The sequence below is a fragment of the Homo sapiens genome, chromosome 3, assembly GCF_000001405.40.
Source record: "Homo sapiens chromosome 3, GRCh38.p14 Primary Assembly".
Classification (NCBI taxonomy): Eukaryota; Metazoa; Chordata; class Mammalia; order Primates; family Hominidae; genus Homo; species Homo sapiens.
Genome location: NC_000003.12, coordinates 196,011,057 through 196,036,496, shown reverse-complemented (window position 1 = coordinate 196,036,496; position 25,440 = coordinate 196,011,057). Strand labels below are relative to the sequence as shown.

General features: G+C 41.0%; 1 long non-coding RNA gene across 9 annotated transcripts; it reads left to right on the top strand.

Annotated features, from left to right (window-relative positions):
- The first annotated feature begins 1,043 nt into the window (after positions 1-1,043).
- On the top strand, positions 1,044-17,803 carry LOC124909478 (uncharacterized). 9 transcript variants are annotated; one of them, XR_007096234.1, is made up of 5 exons: positions 1,044-1,222; positions 9,237-9,360; positions 12,539-12,691; positions 15,762-15,911; positions 16,299-16,969. It is a non-coding gene; the product is annotated as an uncharacterized LOC124909478 (long non-coding RNA). The 9 variants fall into 9 exon arrangements; XR_007096230.1 differs by lacking the exon at positions 1,044-1,222 and having other exon boundaries at positions 8,247-9,360; XR_007096232.1 differs by lacking the exon at positions 1,044-1,222 and having other exon boundaries at positions 8,247-9,360; positions 12,536-12,691.
- Positions 17,804-25,440: the final 7,637 nt, after the last annotated feature.

The window sequence follows — 25,440 nt, the reverse complement described above, 5'->3', positions numbered from 1 at the left end:
GTGCCACTGCACTGCACTGCACTCCAGGCTGGGTGACAGAGTGAGATTCTGTCTCAAAAAAAAAAAAAAAAAAAAAGCATCAAAAAGAATTAAAAATACACAGGAATAAATTTAACGAAGGAGGCACAAGACTTAAACTTATGTATTGAAAACTATAAAACATTGCCAAAAGAATTAAAGAAGACATAAATAAATGGAAGGATATTCCATGTTGGGGATTGGGAGGCGTAGTTGTTAAGATGACAATACTGCCCAGCCTATCTACAGAGTTAATGCAAAATCCCTTTCAAAATCCCAGGGGTGTTTTTTGCAGAAATAGAAAAACCTAATTTGAAATTCAGGCCCCGCATGGTGGCTCAGGCCTGTAATCCCAGCACTTTGGAAGGCTGAAGCAGGCGGATCACCTGAGGCCAGGAGTTCGAGAACAGCCTGGCTAACATAGCGAAACCCCGTCTGTACCAAAAAATACAAAAATTATCCGGGTTGGGGGTTACGTGCGCCTGTAGTCCCAGCTACTCGGGAGACTGAGGTGGGAAAATCACCTAAGTCCGCGGAAGTCGAGGCTGCAGTGAGCCTTGATTGAGCCAATGCACTCCAGCCTGGGCGACAGAAAGAGACTCTGTCTCAAATAAATTTTTTTAAAAAAGTAAGTAAATAAATAAATAATTAAATTAAATTAATGTGGGATCTCTCCTATAGGCTCTGGGAAGCCTGTGGCTTGAGATGTGGCCCCGCAGAGGAATGCGCATGCGCTGAGTCACCCAACGATTTGGGTTGGCGGAAAAGTAATGGCGGTTTTTGCCCTTCCTTTTTTTTTTTTTCCTTGAGACGGCGTCTCGCTCTGTCGCCCAGACTGCAGTGCAGTGGTGCCATCTCGGCTCACTGCAAGCTCCGCCTCCCGGGTTCACGCCGTTCTCCTGCCTCAGCCTCCCAAGTAGCTGGGACTACAGGCGCCCGCCACCACGCCCGGCTAATTTTTGTATTTTTGGAACCTTTTGTATTTTAGAACCTTGAAAACGTTATGTTAAGTGAAATAAGTCAGACATAAAAGGACAAATACTGTATGATTCCAGTTATATGAGGTACCCAGATTAGGCAGATTCACAGGGATGGAAAGTAAAATAGAGGTTGCCAGGGGCTGGGGTACAGAGGAAACGGGAAGTTACTGCTTGATGGGCACAGAGTTTCTGTTTAGGATGAAGAGAAAGCTCTGGAAATAGTGGTGAGTTACACAACATTGTGAATGTACTTAGTGCCACTGAGTTGTATACTTAAAAGTGGCTAAAATAGTGTATTTTATGTTATGTGTGTTTTACCACAATAAAACATTCTAAAAAATAGGAATAAAGTACTACAACACGGGTGTACTTTGAACCCACTATGCTGAGTGAAAGAGGCCCTTCACCAAAGACCACATAGGTATGATTTGATTTCTGTGAAATGCCCGGAACAGGCACATCTACGCAGACAGAAAGTAGATGAATGATTGCCATGGGCTGGATGAGGAGGAAGCGGGGAGTGACAGCTAATGGGTATGGGGTTTCTTTTTGCAGTGACAGAATGTTCTAAAATTAGGTAGGGGTGCTGGTTATACAGCTCTGTGCATGTCTTAAAAACCACCGAATTGTACACTTTTAAAGAGTGAATTCACTTTTTAAGAGTGATTTTTTTAATTTAAAAAATGTTTTAAACTATTTTCTGCATCCAACCAACCATTACTTTGTTTAATTTTTTATTTATTTATTTTTTTTGAGAAGAAGTCTCGCTCTGTCTCCCAGGCTGGTGTGCAGTGGCACGATCTCGGCTCACTGCAAGCTCCGCCTCCAGGTTCAAGCGATTCTCCTGCCTCAGCCTCCCGAGTAGCTGGGACTACAGGCACGTGCCACCACGCCCGGCTAATTTTTGTATTTTTAGTAGAGACGGGTTTTCACTATGTTGGCCAGGCTGGTCTTGAACTCCTGACCTTGTGATCTGCCCGCCTTGGCCTCCCAAAGTGCTGGGATTACAGGCGTGAGCCACTGCACCCAGCCTTTGTTTAAATATTTTTAATTTAATGTCTTTAACAATTTTTTTTCGAGACAAGATCTCACTCTGTTGCCCAGGCTGGAGTGCAGTAGTGCAATCACCATTCACGGCAGCCTTCATCACCCAGGCTGAAGCGATCCTCCTGCCTCAGCATCCCAAGTAGCTGGGATTAGAGGTGCATGCCACCGTGTCTGGCTAATTTTTGTATTTTTTTGTAGAGACAGGGTTTCGCCATGTTGCCAGGCTGGTCTCCAATTCCTGGGCTCAAGCGATCCGCCCATCTTGGCCTTCCAAAGTGCTGAAATTACAGGCATGAGGCACCGTGCCCCGCCTTAAAGGATGATTTTTATTGTATGTAAATTATATATCAATAAAGTCATGAAAAATCAATCAGGGTAATTCACCATATTGACAGAATAAAGGAGAAAATGCATGATCATGCCATAGATGCAGAAATAGCATCTTGTGCAGATTTACACCGTTTCATTATAAAACTAGGGATAATAGGAAGCTTTCTCAAACTAATAAAATGGCACCTAATAAAACTTACAGCTAGCATCCAAAATTTATGATAAAAAACTGAATTGTTCATCTATAAAATCAAGAACAAGGAAACAATGGCCATTTTTACTACATTTTTTGTTTGTTTGTTTGTTTTGTTTTGTTTGAGACTGGTGTCTCCCTCTGTCCCCCAGGCTGGAGTGCAGTGGCACAATCACTGTAACTTCAACCTCCTGGGCTCAAGCAGTCCTCCCACCTCAGCCTTCTGAGTAGTTGGAACTACAGGCACGTGCCATCATGCCTGGCTAATTTTTTAATTTTTTTGTGGAGAGAGACGAGGTCTCGCCATGTTGCCCAGGCTGGTCTCCAGCTCTTGAACTCAAGCGATCCTCCTGCCTCAGCCTCCCAAAGTGCAGGGACTACAAGCATGAGCCACGGCTCCAGCCCCACCACTTTTTAAAAAATTTATCACCTCAATAATTTTTCATTTCTTTGTGTTATAACCATTCCAGTTATAATCTTTTAGTTTTTTTAATGTATAATAAATTATTGTTGACTATAGTCACCCTACTGTGCTATCAAATACTAGATCTTATTCATCTAATTATATTTTTTACCCATTCTCTTCCCCGCTTCCCCCACTGTTCTTCCCAGCCTTTGGTAACTGTGATTCTGCTCTCTATCTCCATGGGTTCAATTGTTTTAATTTTTAGCTCCCACAGATAAGTGACAGCATATGTGAAGTTTGTCTTCTTGTGTCTCACTTATTTCACTCAATATAATGTCCTTCAGTTTCATCCATATTGTTGCAAATGACTGGATCTCATTTTATTTTATTTATTTATTTATTTATTTTTGAGATGGAGTCTCACTCTTGTTGCCCAGGCTGGAGTGCAGTGGCATGATCCCGGCTCACTGCAACCTCTGCCTTCCGGGTTCAAGCAATTCTCCTACCTCAGCCTCCTGAATAGCTTGGGATTACAGGAGCACACCACCATGCCCGGCTAATTTTTGTATTTTTAGTAGAGACGGGGTTTCACCATGTTGGCCAGGCTGGTCTTGAACTCCTGACCTCAGGTGATCCACCTGCCTCAGCCTCCCTAGTGCTGGGATTACAGGCATGAGCCACTGTGCCTGGCCACTTTTTTATGCCCTAATAGTGCTCCATTGTGTATATGCACCACATTTTCGTTATTCATTTGTTGAGGGACACTTAGATTGATTCTAAATCTCAGCTATTGTGAATAGTGCTACAATAAACATGGGCATAGTGATATCTCTTCGATATACTGATTTCTTTTCTTTTTGGTATTTCCTTTCTTTTGGGTATATGCAGATGACTACTGAATCATATGGTAGTTCTATTTTTAGTTTTTTGAGGCAACTCAATACTCTTCTCCATAGAGGTTGTACTAACTTACATTCCCACCAACAGTGTATGAGGGTTCCCCTTTCTCTATGTCTTTGCCAGCATTTGTTATTGCTTGTCTTTTGCACAAAAGACATTTTAACTGGGGCGAGATAATCTCTCACTGTAGTTTTAATTTTAATTCCTCTGATGATCAATGATGTTGAGCACCTTTACATAACCTGTTTGCCATCTGAAGGTCTTCTTCTGAGAAAAGTCTATTCAGATCTTTTGCCCATATTAATATCAGATAATTAGATTTTTCATGTTGAGTTGTTTAAGCTCCTTGTGTATTCTGACTATTAATCCCTTGATAGATGGATCGTTTGCAAATATTTTCTCCCATTCTGTGGGTTTTATGTGCATTTTGTTGATTGTTTTCTGCTGTACAGAAACTTTTTAACTTAATGTGAGTCCATTTGGTCATTTTTGCTTTGTTTGCCTGTGTTTGTGGGGTATTACTCAATAAATCTGTGCCCTATCTGTAACCCCAGCACTTTGGGAGGCCAAGGTGGGCAGATCACTTGAGGCCAGTAGACTGAGACCAGCCTGGCCAACATGGTGAAACCCCATCTCTACTAAAAATACAAAAATTAGCCAGGTGTGGTGGCGGGTGCCTGTAATCCCAACTACTCAGGAGGCTGAGGCAGGAGAATCACTTTAACTTGGGAGGTGGAGGTTGCAGTTAGCTGAGATCACACCACTGCACTTCAGCCTGGGTGAGAGAGCAAGACTCTGTCTCAGTAATAATAATAATAATACAGAAATCTGTGCCCAGACCAACGTCCTGGAGAACTTCCCCAGTGTTTTTGTTTTGTTTTGTTTTGTTTTTTAGTAGTCTTCCAGTTTCAGGTCTTAGATTTAACTTAATACATTTTGATTTGATTTTCATATATGGCAAGAGACAGGGGTCTAGTTTCATTCTTCTTTACATGGATATCCAGTTTTCCCAGCACCAGTTATTAAGACTTGCCGTTTCCCCAATGTATGTTCTTGGCACCTTTGTTAAAAATGAGTTCACTGTAGATGTATGGCTTTATTTTTGGGTTCTCTATTCTGTTCCATTAATCTATGTATCTGTTTTATGTGGGTACCATGATGTTTTCTTTACTATAGCTTTGTAATATAATTTAAAGTCAGGTAATGTGATTCCTTTAGTTTTGTTCTTTTTGCTCAGGATGAGTTTGGTTATTCTGTGTCATTTGTGGTTCCATATGAATTTTAGGATTATTTTTTCTATTTCTGTGAAGGATGTCATTGTTATTTTGATAGTGAATCTGTAGATTGCTTTGGGTAATATGGAAATTTTAACAATATTGATTCTTCCAATCCATGAATATGGAATATCTTTCCATTTTGTGTGTGTCCTCTTTGATTTCTTGTATCAATGTTTTACAGTTTTCATTGCAGAAATCTTTCACATCTTTGGTTAAGTTTATTTCTAGGTATTTTATTTTATTTGTAGTTATTGTTAAGTGGGATTAATTTCTTTATTTCTTTTTCAGCTTGCTCTGTTGGCATATAGAAATGCTACTGATTTTTGTATGTTGATTTTGTTGATTGGCATTGATCAACAAAGTTGCAGTTGTTGATCCTGCAACTTTACTGAATTTGTTTATCAGTTCTAACAGTTTTTTGGTGGAATCTTTAGGTTTTTACGAATAAAAGATCATATAATCTGGAAATAAGATAGTTTGACTTCCTTCTTTCCAATTTGCATGTCTTTATTTCTTTGTCTTGTTTGATTGCTCTGGCTAGGACTTCCAGCACTATGTTGAATAGCAGTGGTCAAAGTGGGCATCCTTGTGGTGTTCCAGAGCTTAGAGGAAAGACTTTCAGTTTTTCCTCTTCAGTATGAGACTAGCTGTGGGTCTGTTGTGTATGGCTTTTATTGTGTTGTGGTATGTTCCTCCTATACACAGTTTTTTGAGGGTTTTTATCATGAAGGGATGTTGAACTTTATCAAATACTTTTTCGGCATCAATTAAAATCATCATATGATTTCTGTCCTTCATTCTGTTGATATGATGTATCACATTGATTGATTTGCATATGTGGAACCTACCTTGCATCCCTGGTATCAATCCCACTTGGTCGTGATGAATGATATTATTAATATGTTGCTGAATTAGGTTTGCTAGTATTTTGTTGTGGATTTTTGCATAAATGTTCATCAAAGATATTGGCCTGAAGTTTTTTTTCTTTTGTTCTTTTTTAAAATGTGCCTTTGTCTGGTTTGGTATCAAGGTAATATTAACCTTGTAGGATGAGTTTGGAAGTATCCCCTCCTCCTCTATTTTTTGGAATAGTTTGAACAGGATTGGTATTAGTTATTTAAATATTTGGTAAAATTCAGCAGTGAAGCCTTCAGGTCCTGGGCTTTTCTTTACTGGGAGACTTTTGATTATGGCTTTGATTTCATTATTAGTTATTGGTCTGTTCAGGTTTTGGATTTCTTCGTGGTTCAATCACAGTAGGTTGAATATGTCTAGGAATTTATCCACTTCTAGGTTTTCCAATTTATTAGCAACATATAGTTTTCATAGAAGTCTCTAGTGAGCCTTTGAATCTCTGCAGTATCCGTTGTAATGCCTCCTTTTACATTTCTGATTTTATCTATTTGAGTCTTTTTTCTTTTTTTCTTAGTCTGGCTAAAGGTTTGTCAATTTTGTTTATCTTTTCAAAAAACAAACTTTTTTGTTTTTTTGATTTTTTTTTATTTCAATTTCATTTATTTCTGCTCTGATCTTTATTATTTGTTTTCTTCTGATTTTGGGTTTGACTTGCTCTTGCTTTTCTCGTTCTTTCTTTTCTTTTCTTTTTTTTTTTTTTTTGAGACTGATTCTCACTCTGTCACCCAGGCTGGAGTGCAGTGGTGCCATCTCCGCTCACTGCAACCTCTGCCTCCTGGGTTCGAGCAATTCTCCTGCCTCAGCCTCCTGAGTAGCTGGGATTACAGGTGCCTGGCACCACACCCAGCTAATTTTTTGTATTTTTGGTAGAGACAGGGTTTCAATATGTTGGCCAGGCTGGTCTTGAACTCCTGACCTCAAGCAATCCACCCGTCTCAGCCTCCCAAAGTGCTGGGATTACAGGCATGAGCCACCGCGCCTGGCTCGCTCTTCTAGTTCTTTAAGATGCATTGTTAGGTGGTTTATTTGAAGTTTTTCTACTTTCTTTCTTTCTTTTTTTTTTTTTTGAGACAGCGTCTCAATCTGTTGCCCAGGATGGAGTGCAGTGGTACAATCTTGGCTCACTGCAACCTCTGCCTCCTAGGTTCAAGAGATTCTCATGTCTCGGCCTCCCGAGTAGCTGGGATTAGAGGCGTGTGCCACCCCGCCCTGCTAATTTTTGTATTTTTATTTATGTATTTATTTAGGAGACAGAGTCTTGCTCTGTCACCCAGGCTGGAGTGCAATGGCACAATCTCAGCTCACTGCAACCTCTGCCTCCTGGGTTCAAGCGATTCTCCCACCTCAGCCCCCCGACTAGCTGGGACTACAGGCACCCGCCACCACGCCCAGCTAATTTTTGTATTTTTAGTAGAGACAGGGTTTCACCATATTGACCAGGCTGGTCGCTGGTCTTGAACTCCTGACCTTGTGATCCGCCCACCTCAGCCTCCCAAAGTGCTGGGATTACAGGCGTGAGCCACCGTGCCTGGCCTGTAATCTTTAAAGCTCAATAGAAATGTAAGATCTTGCTATTGTTATGCGATTATAAAATCTTCCATTCCTTGCTTTTTCCTTGGTTGCTGGCCTAGAAACTAAATCAATTCTGTTCTCTTTTTATTTTTTAAAAGTAATCTCGAACATGTGAAATTGCTGATATTTTAATGTATTGCTGATGTTTCATCTATTCCAATGGTAGCTTCCTCTGGTTTCTTCTAATAGTTAAAACTCTATCATGCCTATAATCCCAGCACTTTGGGAGGTCAAGGCGGGCAGATCACCTGAGGTCAGAAGTTTGAGACCAGCCTGGCCAACATGGCAAAACCCTGTCTCCACTTAAAAGATGAAAATTGGCAGGAGAATCGCTTGAACCCGGGAGACCTTGGTTGCAGTGAACCAAGATTACACCACTGTACTCCAGTCTGGGCAACAAAGCGAGACTCAGAAAAAAAAAAAAATATATATATATATATATATATATATATGTATGTATATATACACACACATATCAAAGCAATATATTTGTATAGTGAAACCTCAGACAGTGCCACTAAGTGAATGATAATATAAAACTCTTATTTCTTATTTTGCTATGATGTTAGGTTCTCAACAATCATTCCGCCTGCTGGTTTACCTTGGTCTTTTTTCCCATTGAGATGGGTTTCCCTTCAATGTCTGGTGATTCTTCATTGTTCACATTTAATAGTGACACGTGAAGAAGGAGAATGAGTCTGTGTTATCATTAGTGAAAGGCTCGTCTAGATGGTGATTCTTCACTGTTCACATTTAATAGTGACACGTGAAGAAGGAGAATGAGTCTGTGTTATCATTAGTGAAAGGCTTGTCTAGATGGTGATTCTTCATTGTTCACATTTAATAGTAACACATGAAGGAGAATGAGTCTGTGTTATCATTAGTGAAAGGCTCGTCTAGGTGGTGATTCTTCACTGTTCACATTTAATAGTAACACATGAAGGAGAATGAGTCTGTGTTATCATTAGTGAAAGGCTCGTCTAGATGGTGATTCTTCACTGTTCACATTTAATAGTGACACGTGAAGAAGGAGAATGAGTCTGTGTTATCATTAGTGAAAGGCTCGTCTAGATGGTGATTCTTCACTGTTCACATTTAATAGTGACACGTGAAGAAGGAGAATGAGTCTGTGTTATCATTAGTGAAAGGCTCGTCTAGGTGGTGATTCTTCACTGTTCACATTTAATAGTAACACATGAAGGAGAATGAGTGTGTTATCATTAGTGAAAGGCTCGTCTAGGTGGTGATTCTTCACTGTTCACATTTAATAGTAACACGTGAAGGAGAATGAGTGTGTTATCATTAGTGAAAGGCTCGTCTAGAGGTTTTGCTTCGGGGAGTCGATGGGGTTTCCGCATGTTAGTAAGTGATGCCTTTGGTCTGGATGGTTTCCTTCCTCTGGAGAAAACCTTCTCCTCTCCTCTCTGGAAGGCAGCTGCTTGCTTGTTGGTTGTTGGTGTTCTACTCACTGGTTACCCGAGGGGTGGGGTGCTGGCATCGGTGAGGGAGGATAATGAGGGTTGACTGTCAATGTACAGATTTTAATCGACCCTCCTGTTTTCTGATGCCTGCCTCACTTCTCTGCCCCTCACCCCCAGGAAGGTCCACAGATGATGCTCCTTCTCACGGATGCGAGGCCATCAAATCACTTTTTGTCTCCGCTGCTCTCTCTCCATCGTGGATAGCCACCATGGTTTCTCAGGAGGGAAAGGACACAACTGGGTCAGTATTTCGTCTACCATCTTTAACTTGGAAGCTTCTTCTTCCAACTAAAGCTAGAATAGCAAAGCTTGAGAAAGGGTTTTGAAAATATTTAGTAACTCAAGTTTTTGGGATGATTTGAACATCTTAAGGCACTAAGTTACTGGGTTTTCTGAAAATGGTGATGGGGAATCATTAATTAATTAATTAATCTCTGCTTTGTTTTAAATATATTGCACCAGGTTTGTGTGTTAGAATTCACACTCAAAAAGTACAGGTTTAATTTTGATATATTTTCTTTGAAGAAATAGCTTAACTGCTCTTCAATGCTATACTTAGGATGTGGCCAAATCTTTATTTGAGACAAAATGTATTATTTCTCTCTATGTAAATTAAGATGTTGTACTTTGAAAAATCATTCCTTTGGGAATTTTTAGATCTTTCTCAGTTTTCTTGAACCTTTTGTGTAAGAGCAATGACCTTATATTTGTCACATTGTTCCTATTAAACACTTAGCTGTGGGCACGAAAGAAACGGGCAGTTCTGTTACAAGAATAAGGTGGAGAAGGTAGTATCACTCTTACTCTTTCATGGATGGGCAAACAGGTTCAGGAATTTCCCAGAACCAAGGTTTTCTATCTTATAATTGGGTGTTCTTTGTCTCACAACATGCGCTTCGTCCTTCCGTATGAATCTCTTTGCTCAGGCTGACTCTGAATGTCAGCTCTCACATGCTAAGCACACATTAATTTCTCTTATCCTTTATTCCCACCTAGTGTGCGGGTGGTTTTGAGAGGATCCTGTACGGTATGGTCCTCAGGTGCTTGGCAAAATGGGTCCACCCCCTCCCGGGTAACCCTGGCTCTAGGCCCTCTTCCATGTCCTGGCCTTCCCCAGCAGTCCCCTGGAGCCCTCTGGCGACCAAAACTCCACAGTGAAGCGCCGCCTGGAGTGGTGGCCGGTGAAGGGTTCCCAGTTCGGGACACGTTATTCCTCTTCTGTAAAAACTGCACCACTTTCAGCTAGACTCTCAGGCAAAGGCACAGAAAATTACCTGATTAGATTCATGATCTTTTAGAGGTTTCCTATCGCTGAGGTCATCTGAGCCAGCAGTTTTCAAAATGAGTTGACAGCTTCATATCCTAAAATGTTGCATTTAAATTCCAGTTAAAAATAGTTTAACTACTGTATTTTTCCATTCTAAGACAGATTTTTTTCATGCTTTGCTTTTTCTGGAGTTAGCATGCATCTTATAATTGATACACTTCATTTAATATGATGGGATCTCTTCTGTTCTTCTAAAAAATTATCAATACATTTGTGATGAATATTGGTTTAATAGCATCTCAGAATGTAAAACATCCAGGTTGCAATCATTACCTCTTCTACAATATTTAGGTGAAGAAGGTCATATTTCTTTCTTTTTTAAGTCAAATTATATCTAGCAGAAACTCCCATATATCAAGATGTGGAAGATTCCAATTCACGGAGGTTCCTCGTCATATTCTGTGCCAGACACTGGAGGCCGGTATGGTGGGACTTCATGCTCCGCACCTTCCTGTCTCACTACTTTTCCTGTGACTGCCAATTGCTGGCCCTTTACTCTGAAGGGGGTTAGAGGACGACTGCCTCTGGCATTGGGGAGGGGATACTCCTCACAGCACAAGAAGTGGCAAGAAAGCAGCTGACAAATGCTGGAACCTTGGCCACACCAACCACATCTGGGGAATTGCATGTGACTAGGGCCAAGCCCATTAGGAATGCTCCTTTTCTGGGAACATCTCTCCAGTATCTTCGTTTTGATTTCCCATTGGCTAGTCCAGCTTACCCCCTTAGATTATTCTAGATCTCCCCAGAAAATACCTGGGTAAGAGTTATCCAGGCAAATTCTCTTTTCCTCCTTTTAACCCTAAAGGCTATATTGGGTGTATGTGTGCACGTGTGTGTGCGTGTGCGTGTGTGTGCATGTGTGTGCCTGCGCGTGCGTGTGCTCGTGTGTGTGCGCGTGTGTGTGCGCTCATGCGTGCATGGGTGTGTGTGTGTTACAGAGAGATCTAATCTGCAGAAGCACAGCTTCTGGGAAAAGGGAAAAGGGCTGCTTTATTTCCTGATGCCTCCAAAGCACACACAAAGAAGATATAAGTTAGTACTTGCTCTAATATTCCATCTGTAACATTGAGCATTTAAAAGTCATAATAATACATTAAAATACCATGCCCATACAAGTGCATTTAAAATGTAGCATTAATGAAACAATTAAATGTCCCAACTTAACCTGTCTTCTTGCAAGCCACGAAATAAATTTCTCCCACTATCTCTATGTGTATGTTTACCATTTGTGCAAATTTACCACTGAAAAGAGATTGTAGACAATTTTTATTTTGATAGCAATCCACTCATGTAAAATTACACACAGAAATACTACTATAACCCATGTGTATTGCAAGATCCAATTAAATGTAAACCAAGGCCCATTTGTTCATGCATGTGTTTTTATGATTTTGTCTGTTGTTTCTCTGACTTACATATTTATAATACAGAATGTGAGAAGAGTGAGCTCTTTGTAGTTATTTAGCTTTAAGGCATAGACAACTGTTTTAGAACCTTTAAAAAGCAATTGCAGATTTTTTTAAAAGTCTCTTGAAATTACAAGTCCTTTTTAAAAATTATTATTCTTTGAAACTACTTTTCTGTATACATCAAGATTTATCAATAGCATATGAACAAAATAAAACGGGACAGGATGGTAATGGCCACCTCATATTGCTTATTTCTTTTATAATAACTAAGTCATATAAATTGAGCTCACAAAAATATTTATATTAATAAAATTATAATTTATCATTGGTAATGTCTGAGTTTTTCTTGTACATTTTTATGTAGCAAGAAAAAAATTTTTACTGTTAAAAATGGTTTTTAAAAAATCGCAGCAAGCCTAAGCCCCTTCATTTTACGAACACAATAACCTGAGGCTCATCAGGGCTGGTGACTCACACAGGCGCACACTCAGCATTGCTGGATGTCGGCTCAGGATCCAGAATGCATTTGAACAACTCACGCTAAGTTAATAAACGCACTTTAAGATAAGCCCATATTAATCCCAAAGTAACTAAACTTGTGGAATTTGTAAAAGAAGATGTTTATGAACGAGGACATGGCATTTCCACATTACTTCTGATTCTCCCCTTTCTAAAAGCAGAATCTACGGTCTCTATTTTCCCGTTGCGAGATTTCAGCGGAGAGCCTGGTGGCACTTACAGCAGACATCACAGATGCCTCAGCGTTTCGGATGAGGACAGTAAAGACCTTCCTTGCTTCATGAAACCTTCGTTTTCCAGGGGAGAAAACACAGGTTGAGTCTAAACTCAGTCCTCCTGTTGAAATATTTTAATGACGCTGAAAGAGGCTGTTGCGTTTGGCAGGTGCGTGTGGAGCTGTGTGGCCCTGCACTGAAGCCCTGCAGTCCTGACTTCTGAGTGGAGCTACAGGAGAATTATGTTAATGTGTTTGCACTACTCGCTCAGTTGTAAAAAGTTACAAATATATTTAATGAGGATAAAATAGTTTAACAATGTTTACACACCTATTTTAGTTATTACATTCTCTAAGCTATTTTTATCCTCACAACCATGGAAGCACTCCGCCATCTCCATTTCAGAAAGTAGACAATAACTGAAAAAAAACTGTCTACTTTTTTAAAACGTGATTTACTTCATTATGAAAGTTCATAGTTTATGTAATTAATACCTTTTTGTGGTCTGCGTTCAGTGGGTGTTGGCATCTGCACACTGTCGTGGGTCCACTGTTGTGGTGAAATCGCACACAGTGATCTCACTGCCCTAAACATCCGGGGCTCTCTGCCCATCCATCCTTTCCTCTCCCCAACCCCTGTCGACCACTGATTATTTTACTATCTATGTAATTTTCCCTTTTCCAAAATGTCACGTAATTACATAGATATTTTACTCTCTATGTAGTTTTTCCTTTTCCAAAATGTCACATAATTGGAATCATACAGTATGTAGCCTTTTTGGCTTCTTTCACTTAGTAATGTGCATTTTGGGTCCCTGTATGCCTTTTCATGACTTGATAGCTCATTTCTTTTCTCACTGAATGATATTCCATTGTCTGTAGGTACCAGAATTTATTTCTCAATTCACCTACTGAAGGACATGTTGGTCACCTCGTTTCTGGTAATTCTGAATAAAGCTTCTATGTAGGTGCCAGCCCTACAGGGTTTGTGGGTTTTTTCTCCCCATGTGCAGAGATGAGAGATTGTAGAAAAAGAGACACAAGACAAAGAGATAAAAGAAAAGACAGCTGGGACCGGGGGACCACTACCACCAAGACGCAGAGACCAGTAGTGGCCCCGAATGCCAGGCTGCGCTGTTATTTATTGGATACAAAGCAAAAGGGGCAGGGTAAAGACTGTGAGTCATCCAACTGATTGATAAGGTCACGGAGTCACGTGTCCACCAGACAGGGGGCCCTTCCCTGTTTGGCAGCCGAGTCAGAGAGACAGAGAGGACAGCTTATGCCATTATTTTTTCTATGCTCTTTTCAGAAAGATCAAAGACTTTAATACTTTCACTAATTTGCTACTGCTATCTAGAAGGCAGAGCCAGGTGTGCAGAGTGGAACATGAGAGCGGACCAGGAGCGTGACCACTGAGGCACAGCATCACAGGGAGACGGTTAGGCCTCCGGATAACTGCAGGCGGGCCTGACTCATGTCAGGCCCTCCACAAAAGGTGGAGGAGTAGAGTCTTCTCTAAACTCCCCCGGGGAAAGGGAGACTCCCTTTCCCGGTCTGCTAGGTAGCGGGTGTTTTTCCTTGACACTGACGCTACCACTAGACCACAGTCCGCTTGGCAACGGGCGTCTTCCCAGGCACTGGCGTTACCGCTAGACCAAGGAGCCCTCTGGTGGCCCGGTCCGGCCATAACAGAAGGCTCGCACCCTTGTCTTCTGGTCACTCCTCACTATGTCCCCTCAGCTCCTATCTCTGTATGGCCTGGCTTTTCCTGGGTTATGATTATAGAGCGAGGGTTATTATAATATTGGAATAAAGAGTAATTGCTACAAACTAATGATGAATGATATTCGTAGATAATCATGTCTATGATCTAGATCTAGTATAACTCTTGTTATTTTACATATTTTATTACACTGGAACAGCTCGTGCCCTCGGTCTCTTACATCGGCACCTGGGTGGCTTGCTGCCCACATTTCTATAAACATTTGTGTGCAAGTTTGTGTGTGGATATAACTCTTCAACTCCATTGGGTAAATAATGAGGAGCACAATTGTTAAATCTTATGACAAGACTATGTGAGCTTTGTAAAAACTGCCAAACTGTCTTCCAAAGTGGCTGTGCCATTTTGCATTCCCACAGCAATGAATGAGAGTTCTCATTGCTCCACATCCTCACCAGCATTTGGTGCTTTCATTCTTGTGGATTGTGGCCATTCTAACAGGTGTGTAGTGGTATCTTATTGCGTCTTAATTGGCAATTCCTAATAACATATTATACACAGCATCTTTTCATATACTTAGTTTCCATCTGCAGATTTGTTCAGCTTTTGCCCAGTTTTGTTTGTTTTCTCATTGTTGAGTTTTAAGAGTTCTTTGTGTATTTCAGATATGAATCCTTAGATATATTTTGCAAATATTTTCTCGCAGTCTGTGATTTATCTTTTTATTCTCTTAACAGTATCTTTTGAAAACAAAAGTTTTTCATGTTAATGAAATTAAACTTCCCAATTTTTTTCTTTGTGGATCATGCTTTTGGTGTTGTATCTGAAAAAAAAAACACCAAATCCAAAGTTATCTAGATTTTTTTTCCTTATGTTATCTTCTAGAAGTTTGAAAATTTTACATTTCATATATTGGTCTAATATCTACTTTGCATTAACTTTTGTAAAAAGTATAAGGTCTGTTACATATTCTTTTTTTTTTTGCATGTGGATGCCCACTTGTTCCAGAACCATTTGTTAAAAAGACTCTCCTTTCTCCATTGAATTGCTTTTGCTCCTTTGTCAGAAATCAGTTGGCTGCATTTCATTCTGTTTCTGGGTTCTCTGTTCTGTTTCACTGATGTATGTGTATGTGTCTTCTGTTTTGCCTTCAATTTAAAAAATATCTAAATATCTACTTGCTACCTCAATTTGCTGATGAATTCTCATTTGTAAACAGAAAAGCATAAATTAAAGCCTGAGTATCTTTTGGGGTAGATGTTGCATTGAATACAATGAGCAGAATGAGTTATAATCTTAAAGTGAATATAAAAATTTGACCATAGTGGTAACAGATTTGTGCACTAGTGACATCAATGACAGAGTCCATTGCAATATTGCTTCCTCCCATAGGCTCAGCTCTGCTTCACACCAGGTAACTACCAGTCCCTTTTGTGCTTCATTCAAGGATTTCTGTGGGGCGGAAAGCAGAAATATCATGAGCTCAGTGGAGAGAGAGAAGGCAGTTTTCCAGGCTGGGAGCAGTCAGATCTCCAGTGGGTCCCAACACTGCTCTGTAGCAATGCCTAGAAGGTGATGGAAACAGGGTGAACATGAGGTGGGTGCTGGCCCCGGGGTTCCCAGTGTTACCAGGTTCCCATGGTCTATAAGACGCCTGGAAATGAGATCTTCTGGGCTTTGGGGGCCCCTGTGGAATTGGAAAATAAGGAAGTGAGCAGTGACAATCTAGACTGGTTATTAGAGGTGCATCTCCCATTTTTCAGAAGCCAAGGAGCCCTTGATTAGTGAAATTGTGGCCCCACAACAATGGTGGAGTGGAGTGTCCTGCCATTCTGGAGGGGAGATGGCTCAGGGTCAAGACTGAACTCATTAGAAAATACAAGAAGTTTTTTTGTTTTTTTTTTCTATCTGAGTTTGTGAATGAAGAGCTACACTGCTGTGAAATGTGCAAATCATTGGCTACTGTTTCTCATGTGCATTCCAGGAGTATCAAGTCCAAAATGAAGCTCTTCAAACCATCTGGGAAGAGAAAACAGCATGACAAGGAAAGGTGTATTTGTCTGATCCCAGTAATCAATATAAACATCAATGATAACCCCACCTATTTTTTTAAATGTATGATTTGGATGAAACAAGAGAAAGAGACTGATTGTTGCTGAGTCCCTGCTGCAGTCCTGACACAGCTCTCCTTATTTTGTTGATGCTCATGAGGACCCTGATGTCTGAGGAAGAAGGTTCCCGTCCAGCTCTGCCCCTGGTGTGTCACATGCCGGCCTTGTCAACGCACACGAGAACCTGACAGGGTGAGTGTTATAACCCAGTCATAGAAAAGGAAACTGGCTCTAAAGTGTATGGCATCTTGCCCAAGTTCTGACACTTAGCAGAGGCCTGAGTTTAAATACAGCCTCGTCTTGCTCTTCGACAGCCTCAGCACCACATGCCCTGGGTGGCCCACGCAGTGAGTCACTGACAGCCCTCGTGGTTGGCCCGTGGCACAGCATGGAGCGAAATGGTCCAGTGACCTTTTCAGACACTCGGGCAATGCGTGGTATAGTGTATGTGGTCACTCCCAGTGAGTCCTATTGTTCAGTTTAATAGAATATCTAATTCTATGTTTATTCTGAATAAAGGGAGATTTCTTGTGGTTTTTAAGAATATGAAGCATATCTATTTTGCCTACAAGTTGGAAGTTCCGATACTGTAGGAAGCATAAGTGCAGGTTATAATGATGGGTTTTTTATAAGACTGAATTCACATCAAACTGAATCAGTAACTCCAGCTGTATGAACAGGGTGAAACATTAAACATTTAATGAAAACAATTCCTTTCTTAGGTCACAGCAAGGACTAAATATGTCCAATTATCATGCCCACTAAGAAGATGTATTGTAATATTTGCAGTTAATCACTCATTCACTTCAAAGGGTGTTTATTAATTGTCTGCTCTGGGCATAACATTAATTGGAAGCAGTGTGTTCACATGGAAACAAAACTTACCTGAGACTCTCAGTCACAACTTTCCATGACCAGTACACGTTTCTAATTTGAAATACATATCTAAGGCTTCAAATGCATAAATAGGTATCCCAATGTAGAACTAAGTCAATAGTTGCTTTGAATTAATTGTTTAAATTAACCTGGGAATCGGAAAGATATGTCTCCATGAAACAATAAAGGCTGTGTTAGAATTAGTAAACTTTAGAAGAGCATTTTAATCCTAATATATAAACATACTACCTAGGCACACTGTTTAAATACATCTGCAACCTACTATTTTTAGATTTAAGAAAATCATTAAACCTTAAATTTGGAAAAGATTCCAGTGTTAGACCTCTAGACTATGAAACTTGAATGTTTTTCTAAACTCTTTGAGTTTTATCCAGAAATACAGATTTTCCTGGCACTGACAACTGCAAGAAATTTCACTTGGAGTCTCCACATAGTCAACCATGTGATGTTAACATCAGTGTAATAGATACTATCACAAACATCCTGTGACTTTTATATTTTTTTTGTACTTTAAGTTCTGATACATGAGCAGAACGTGCAGGTTTGTTACACAGGTATACACGTGCCATGGTAGTTTGCTGCACCCATCAACGCATCATCTACATTAGGTGTTTCTCCTAATGCTATCCCTCTCCTAGGCCCCCACCCGCCCTGACAGGTCCCAGTGTGTGATGTTCTCCTCCCTGTGTCCATACATTCTCATTGTTCAATTCCCACTTATGAGTGAGAACGTGTGGTGTTTGGTTTTCTGTTCCTGTGTTAGTTTGCTGAGAATGATGGTTTCCATTTTCATCCATGTCCCTGCAAAGGACATGAACTCATCCTTTTTTATGGCTGCATAGTATTCCGTGGTTTATATGTGCCACATTTCTTTATCTAGTCTATCACTGATGGGCATTTGGGTTGGTTGCAATTCTTTGCTATTGTGACTAGTGCTGCAATAAACATACGTGTGCGTGTGTCTTTATAGTAGAATGATTTATAATCCTTTGGGTATATACCCAGTAATGGGATGGCTGGGTCAAATGGTATTTCTGGTTCTAGATCCTTGAGGAATCGCCACACTGTCTTCCACAATGGTTGAACTGATTTACACTCCCACCAACAGTGTAAAATCGTTCCTATGTCTCCACATCCTCTCCAGCATCTGTTGTTTCCTGACTTTTTAATGATTGTCATTCTAACTGGTGTGAGATGGTATCTCACTGAGGGTTTGATTTGCATTTCTCTAGTGACCAGTGATGATGAGCTTTTGTTCATGTATTTTTCAGCCACATAAATGTCTTCTTCTGAGAAGTGTCTGTTCATGTCCTTTGCCCACTTTTTGATGGGGTTGTTTTTTTCTTGTAAATTTGTTTAAGTTCATTGTAGATTCTGGATATTAGCCCTTTGTCAGATGGATAGATTGCAAAAATTTTCTCCCATTCTGTAGGTTGCCTGTTCACTCTGATGGTAGTTTCTTTTGCTGTGCAGAAGCTCTTTAGTTTAATTAGATCCCATTTGTCAATTTTGGCTTTTGTTGCCATTGCTTTTGGTGTTTTAGTTGTGAAGTCCTTGCCCATGCCTATGTCCTGAATGGTATTGCCTAGGTTTTCTTCTAGGGTTTTTATGGTTTTAGGTCTAACATTTAAGTCTGTAATCCATCTTGAGTTAATTTTTGTGTAAGGTGTAGGGAAGGGGTCCAGTTTCAGTTTTCTGCATGTGGCTAGCCAGGTTTCCCAACACCATTTATTAAATATGGAATCCTTTTCCCATTGCTTGCTTTTGTCAGGGTTGTCAGACATCCTAAACTTTTTAATTTAAGAATTTACATTTTTTAAAGTAACTGACAATCATTTAAAAATCCATGACTTAAAAAATAATAATTCCTCCTATGTTTTCAACCAAGAGAAGTGAAAATCTGTTTACACAAAGGCCTGAATATAAGTATTCTTAACAACTTTCTTCTTAATAGCCAAATATTTTTAAAATAGTCTATCACTGCAGAATAGATAAACAAGCTGTAATATATTCCTGCAGTGGTTACTGCCCAACGTAAGAAGAATGACATACACACTGGAAACCACATGGACATAGCTCAAAGGCATTAAAATATATGAAAGAAACCAGGTATAAGATAATTTACTGTATGATTCCATTTATATCAAATGCTTTTCTTTCTTTCTTTCTTTCTTTCTTTCTTTCTTTCTTTCTTTCTTTCTTTCTTTCTTTCTTTCTTTCTTTCTTTTTTTTTTTGACAACATCTCACTCTGTCCGGAGTGCAGTGATGTGATCACAGATCACTGCAGCCTTGACCTCCCAGGCTCAGGTGATTCTTCAGCCTCCTGAGTAGCTGGGACCACAGGTGTGTGCCACCACACCTGGCTAAGTTTTTGTGTGTGTGTATTTTTTTTTGAGACAGGGTTTTGCTATGTTACCCAAACTCCTTGTTCAAGTGATCCTCCCTTCTCAGTCTAGTGCTAGGATTACAGCCATGAGTCACCACACGTGGCCTGTATCAAATTCTCAGACAAAACCAGAGTGAAAGAAAGCAACTGCCAGGAGCTGTGGTGGAGGGGGCACTGACTACAGCAGCATGCAAGGGAATTTTCGGGGTAATGAAATGTATTTCAATGGTAGTGTTGTGTACATGACTATATATATTTGTCAAAATGCATTCATTTGTACACTTAAAATTACTAAATTTTATTATATGTAAATTAAACTCAATCAGACAATAAAAAATAAACTTTTGATCCTGAAAAAATACCTACATACACACAAACTACCTCTGAAACAAACTACTTTTTCAGAATTTCTAATTTAAATATTCAGAAATATGAATGACGACAATGAATTTTAACAAGGCTTGCATAATTCAATTCTGTTTTGGATCATGCCTGAGAGGCATATTAGCTGCTGGACTTATGTGGACTTCCTTACCTCCTTTGCATATGAAAAAATAGGAGGTTGAGACAGAAACAAGATATGTAACTAATGTACAATGAAACTTTCTACTGCCCAGGAAATGAGGCTTTCTATTGCCCAATGAATTGTGCCTGGCAGCACAATTCACTGCTTCACAATTGATCATTCTTTTTACCCTCAAAGCATCCTTGAAATGATTGACTCAACCATGAGAGAAACTGTAAATATTCTCAGATACAAACTCACAGTACCAGCTTCACAGAACACCTGCAGGTGCAAGTAACTAAAAATCCAGCTCAATTTGACTTTAATGGGAAGGCAATTTATTGACTCAGGTGGGTAGTTCAGAAGCAGGCCAGGCTTCAGGGTGAATCTGAGCACAGAAGCTCATGGATGCTACCCAGGACTCAGTCTCTTCCCAATTTTCTGCTCTGCCTTCAGTGAAGTCAGAATCATTCTGAGTGTGGCAAAATCTCCAGGAACAATTTCTGAGGCTGCATTCTTCATCAGAGAGGGAGCATGAACAAGCACACTCTTAGCACAATGTGTATTTGACTCTAATTGGAACAACGCAGGCCCTTGCCCATCCCCAAGTCCATTAGGGGGACCAAGGGAGTGCTGTGTGGCACCTAGCATGAGCCTCAGTTATGCACCCACCTTGGAACCAGTAACTGTGACACAGGGTGAGACGGTGCTGGTTAGGTTAAGTCAACCAGCACTCACCCCATGTTTCAAACCATGTGACTGAATAACTCAGGGCTCTGTTAGGAAGGAGAAAGGTGGATGCTTCTTGAATAGCACCCAACACTCAACTACAATTTGATTTAACAGGAACCCGGAGGCCTTGCCCATAGAAATCTCTCACAGTTGCTTGGAGAGAGAACACTCAGTACAAAAATCTTATGGCAGCAACCCTGTGGCCTCAAGGGTGCCACGGACTTGGTGTGGGGGGTGGGGAAGGGAGGGTGGGGAAGGGCTCAGTGTCTTCTGAAGATGAAGCAGAAGAATAGATGGCACTGCCTTAGCAGAGTGGAAAATGTTTAACCCCAAGAGATGCCTACAGAGGCAGCTGAGCCACACCACAGACTCCTAGAAGGATTTGTGTTAGGGTTCTCAAGTGTCTAGGTAAGGAGAGGAGATGGTGAGGCAGACACAGAAAGGTCGGTTCAAAGCACATTGGGAAGAGACATGCCTACAGAGGCAGCTGAGCCACACCACAGACTCCTAGAAGGGCTTGTGTTAGGGTTCCCAAGTGTCTAGATAAGCAGAGGAGATGGTGAGGCAGACACAGAGGGTCGGTTCAAAGCTGATTGGGAAGAGTGTGATCCCAAGACCCCTCAGTCCACACTGGCAGTCAAATACTCCTCCCTGACTTTGGAAAAAGAAACAATTTATTTTCTTCAGACATTGAAACAGGACTTTTCTAAGCTCCAGGACACTGGGTAATGCTGCTTATGCACAGAGAGGATTTAGTGAAAGCCAATTTACTGAGCAGGGAGATCCACAGACTCTTTCTCCCTCTTGGCTCCCAGAATGCTGGGGTCAGACTTGCAGTTAGGAGACTGGTGACCTCTTTTTGGAGAGGATCTGCAGATGCCAACATTTCAGGGTTTCCTCAGGTCCAGGAGTGCCAGGCTCCTGTGCATTCTTCCTTTGGGGAAGCAAAGGAAGACTCCATCTGTGCTTTTGGCCCTGGTGTTTCCGATGTGGTGTCTCACACAGGAGTTCAGCTCCTCTCAGAATAGTGGACCCAGGATTGTTTGTAAAGACCTACCAATAGCTCAATGTCCATGCACGGGGTAAGAGCACAGCGTCCACAGAGAATTTCCTGGGGCCCAGAACTGGTGCTGGGGCCCATAGTGGAAAACCTCAACCCATTACCTGGGAGTGCTCTTGGGAACCAGCACTTTCCTGGGACAGGAAGAGGTGACAAACCCGTGGCAATACCCGCCCTCCACAACACCTGAGTGCACACCTGCCCACCACAACACCCGCCCACCACAACACCCAAGTCAACACCCACCCACCAGAATACCTGAGTCCACACCCGCCCACCACAACACCCGCCCACCACAACACCTGAGTCCACACCCGCCCACCACAACACCTGCCCACCACAACACCTGAGTCCACACCCGCCCACCACAACACCTGCCCACCACAACACTCAAGTCAACACTCCCCCACCACAACACCCATCAACACCCATCCACTCCAACACCCCCCCCACCTCAACACCAGCAGCAATACCCGCCCACCACACTTGAGGAGGCTTGGGCAATCACCACCCGAGGCCCTGGGGCCACACTGAGGGGAAGCTGAGGCCTGAACTCTCCATCCTGGCTCTCCTTGTGTTGGTCTGAGCCCAGGAGAAGGTCATGGAGAGACAAGGCCAGGTGTGCTCTTGGACAGTCACTGAGACTCTCACAGGAGGGGGCATGCAGGGGAAGGGGCTGCAGGGCCAGGAGTGTGAGGGGGTCCCAGAGTCACACATCGCATCAGGAGGAGGTGAAGCTCCTGGGGCCCGGGCCTGCTGGCCTCCTCTGAGCTGGTGCTTGGGGAGGAAAAAATATCAAAGTAAGTTGTGTTGATGGTTCCATCGTCATGCAGGGTTGGAGTAATGACCAAGCTGACCAGCAGTTTAAGTGTTTGTTAATCGCCTTCTGGGGACAGGAGCAGGTTAACTGAGTGCGTTTGAGGGACAAAAACAAACAGAGCATTTATTTTTATGATTCATAAAGCCAAGACTGCTAAATGAATGCCCATTGAAAACACGATGGGAATTTAAACAGCCTTCGGAAGGAACCCCCCGGTCTCTGTATTCACACACGTCAGGCTGTTTGCGCGTCGGTGCGGGAGCAAATATTCCTCCCAACTGGTTTTCTGCCACGTCTGAGGGCTTTGAAGATGCTGAGGTCCTTCGGTATGTCCATGGCTCACAAAGGCCCCATTTGGTGGCATTGGACGCAGCTGCAGCCACCTGTGCCTTTATTCAGGCTCCTGCTAAAACAGACAGGGCACAGCTGCTGACTGCTCCTCCTCAGCTTTCTTCAAGATGCTGGGGGAAGCACGGGTGCTTCTGCTGTGACTGATGTGGCAACCGTCCCAGAGGTGCCTCCTCCGCCCGCCACACCCCACAGACCTGAGAGGCCTTGACTGGAGCAGGCCCTGCCCATACCTTGGTTTTGGACTTCATGCCTCCAGAGCTGTGAGAGAAGAAACTTCGATTGCTTTAAGCCCCTGGGTTTCTGGTAACTGACTACAGCAGGTGTGGGAAGCCAGCATCCTTCCACATTGGTGCAGAGGATTCTGAGATGTCCAGGTAGACTTGGCTTTTTACCAGGGTGCAATTGAATTGAGATATCGTTTAGTACAAAGTTTAATTTTAAACATTTTGTGGAGTACATCAATTTTTTAACCTGATTATAGTAAACTCTTTGCCTAATAATAGGTCATGAAGAGTTCTCCTTATGTTTTCTTCTAAAATGTTTACACTTTTGTAGTTTTCATTTTAGATCTGTGATTAATTTCAGTTAAGTATTCATAAGATGTGAGGTTTAGATTGCAGATATTTGCACATGCCCGTCAACATGATTCATAACCGTTTGTTGGAAAGACTCCTTCCCTCCATGACTCCTTTTGCATATTTGGCATGTTTGTGTTCTGGACACTGTATTCTGTTTCAAGGATCTATACGTTTGCTACTCTGCAAATGCCACCGTCTTGATGACTGCAGATTTATAGTAAGTCTTAAAATAAAGTAGTTTTAATTTTATGTTTTCTCCAACTTTGTTCTTCTTCAGTATCAAGTTGCATATTCTCTGTCTTTTGCCTTTCCATATAAAGTTTAGAATCAGCTCGGTTTAAACATTTTTGTGGGATTTTAATTGGAATTGCATTAAACTACAGATCAATTTGGGGAGAGCTGATGTATTTACCATGTTGGGTCTTTCAATCTATGAACATGTTGTTTCTCCATTTATTTATACATACATACATATATGCAAAAATTGTCTTCATAGGTCTTTTGTAGTAACTTGGAGATCCTGTACATGTTTGGAAAGATTCATACCTAAATGTTTCATTGTTTGGACCTGTTATACAAAGGCATTTTTTAAAAAATTGAGTCTCCAATTATACATTGCTATTATGGAAAAATATGATTGGCTTTCTATGTAAATGTAGAAATATGATTTGTTGATCATAAATTCTACTTTGCTAAATTCATTCATTATTTCTGAGAGTTATTTATTTATTTTGTTTTTGTGTTTCTTGGGATTTTCTGTGTGTAAAATCATGTCATCTACAACTAAGGACACTGCTGTTTTCTCTCCAATCAATATGCATTTTATTTCTTTTTCTTGCCTTGTACTGACTGGGATTTTAAGTGTGATGTCCAATAGGATTAGAAAATCTGGGCATTCCTATCTTCTGCCTGATCTCACTGAGAAAGCATGAGTCCCTCACTGTTGAGTGTGATGCCAGCCATAGACCTTCTGCTGATGCCCTGTTCAGGTTGGAGAAGTTCTCCTCTTATCTTTGTGGCTGAGTTTTTATCATAAATTGATATTGCTTTGTCAACTGCCTTTTGGCATCAATTGATATTATCATGTCATTTTTATTCTTTAAACTGTTAATATGATGTATTGCATTAGTTGATTTTACTTTTTAAGCTATCAAACCACCCTTGTATTCCTGGAGTAAATAGCACCACTTGGACTCTAGCATGGTATTCTTTACTCTTTTTGTTTATTGCCAGATTTAATTTGGTAACATTTTAATGAGGACTGTTATGTCTATATTCATGAAGAGTATTGATCTGTAGCTTTCTTTATTTGAATGCTCTTTGTCTGCATTTGGTATCCTGATGACTTGCCCTCATTAAATAATTTGGGGAGTCCTCCTCTTCTGTTTTTTGAAGACATTATGTAGAACTGATGGCATTTCTTTGTGAAATATTTATTAGAATTTCTTAGCCAAAAAAATGGGCCTGGAGATTTCTTTGTTAAAAGGTTTGGGAATACAAATAACCCTCTGAGGGTATTGCTTTCACATGGGGTGAGTTTGTGTTTTCTGAAGAATCCGTCCATTTTACCTGAGTGTTGAGTTCATGTGTATGGAGTTGTCATATTATTCCCTGTTTATCCCTTAGTGTCTGCAGTGTCTATAATGATGACCCATTTTTCTTTTTCAATGTTGGTAAACTGTGTC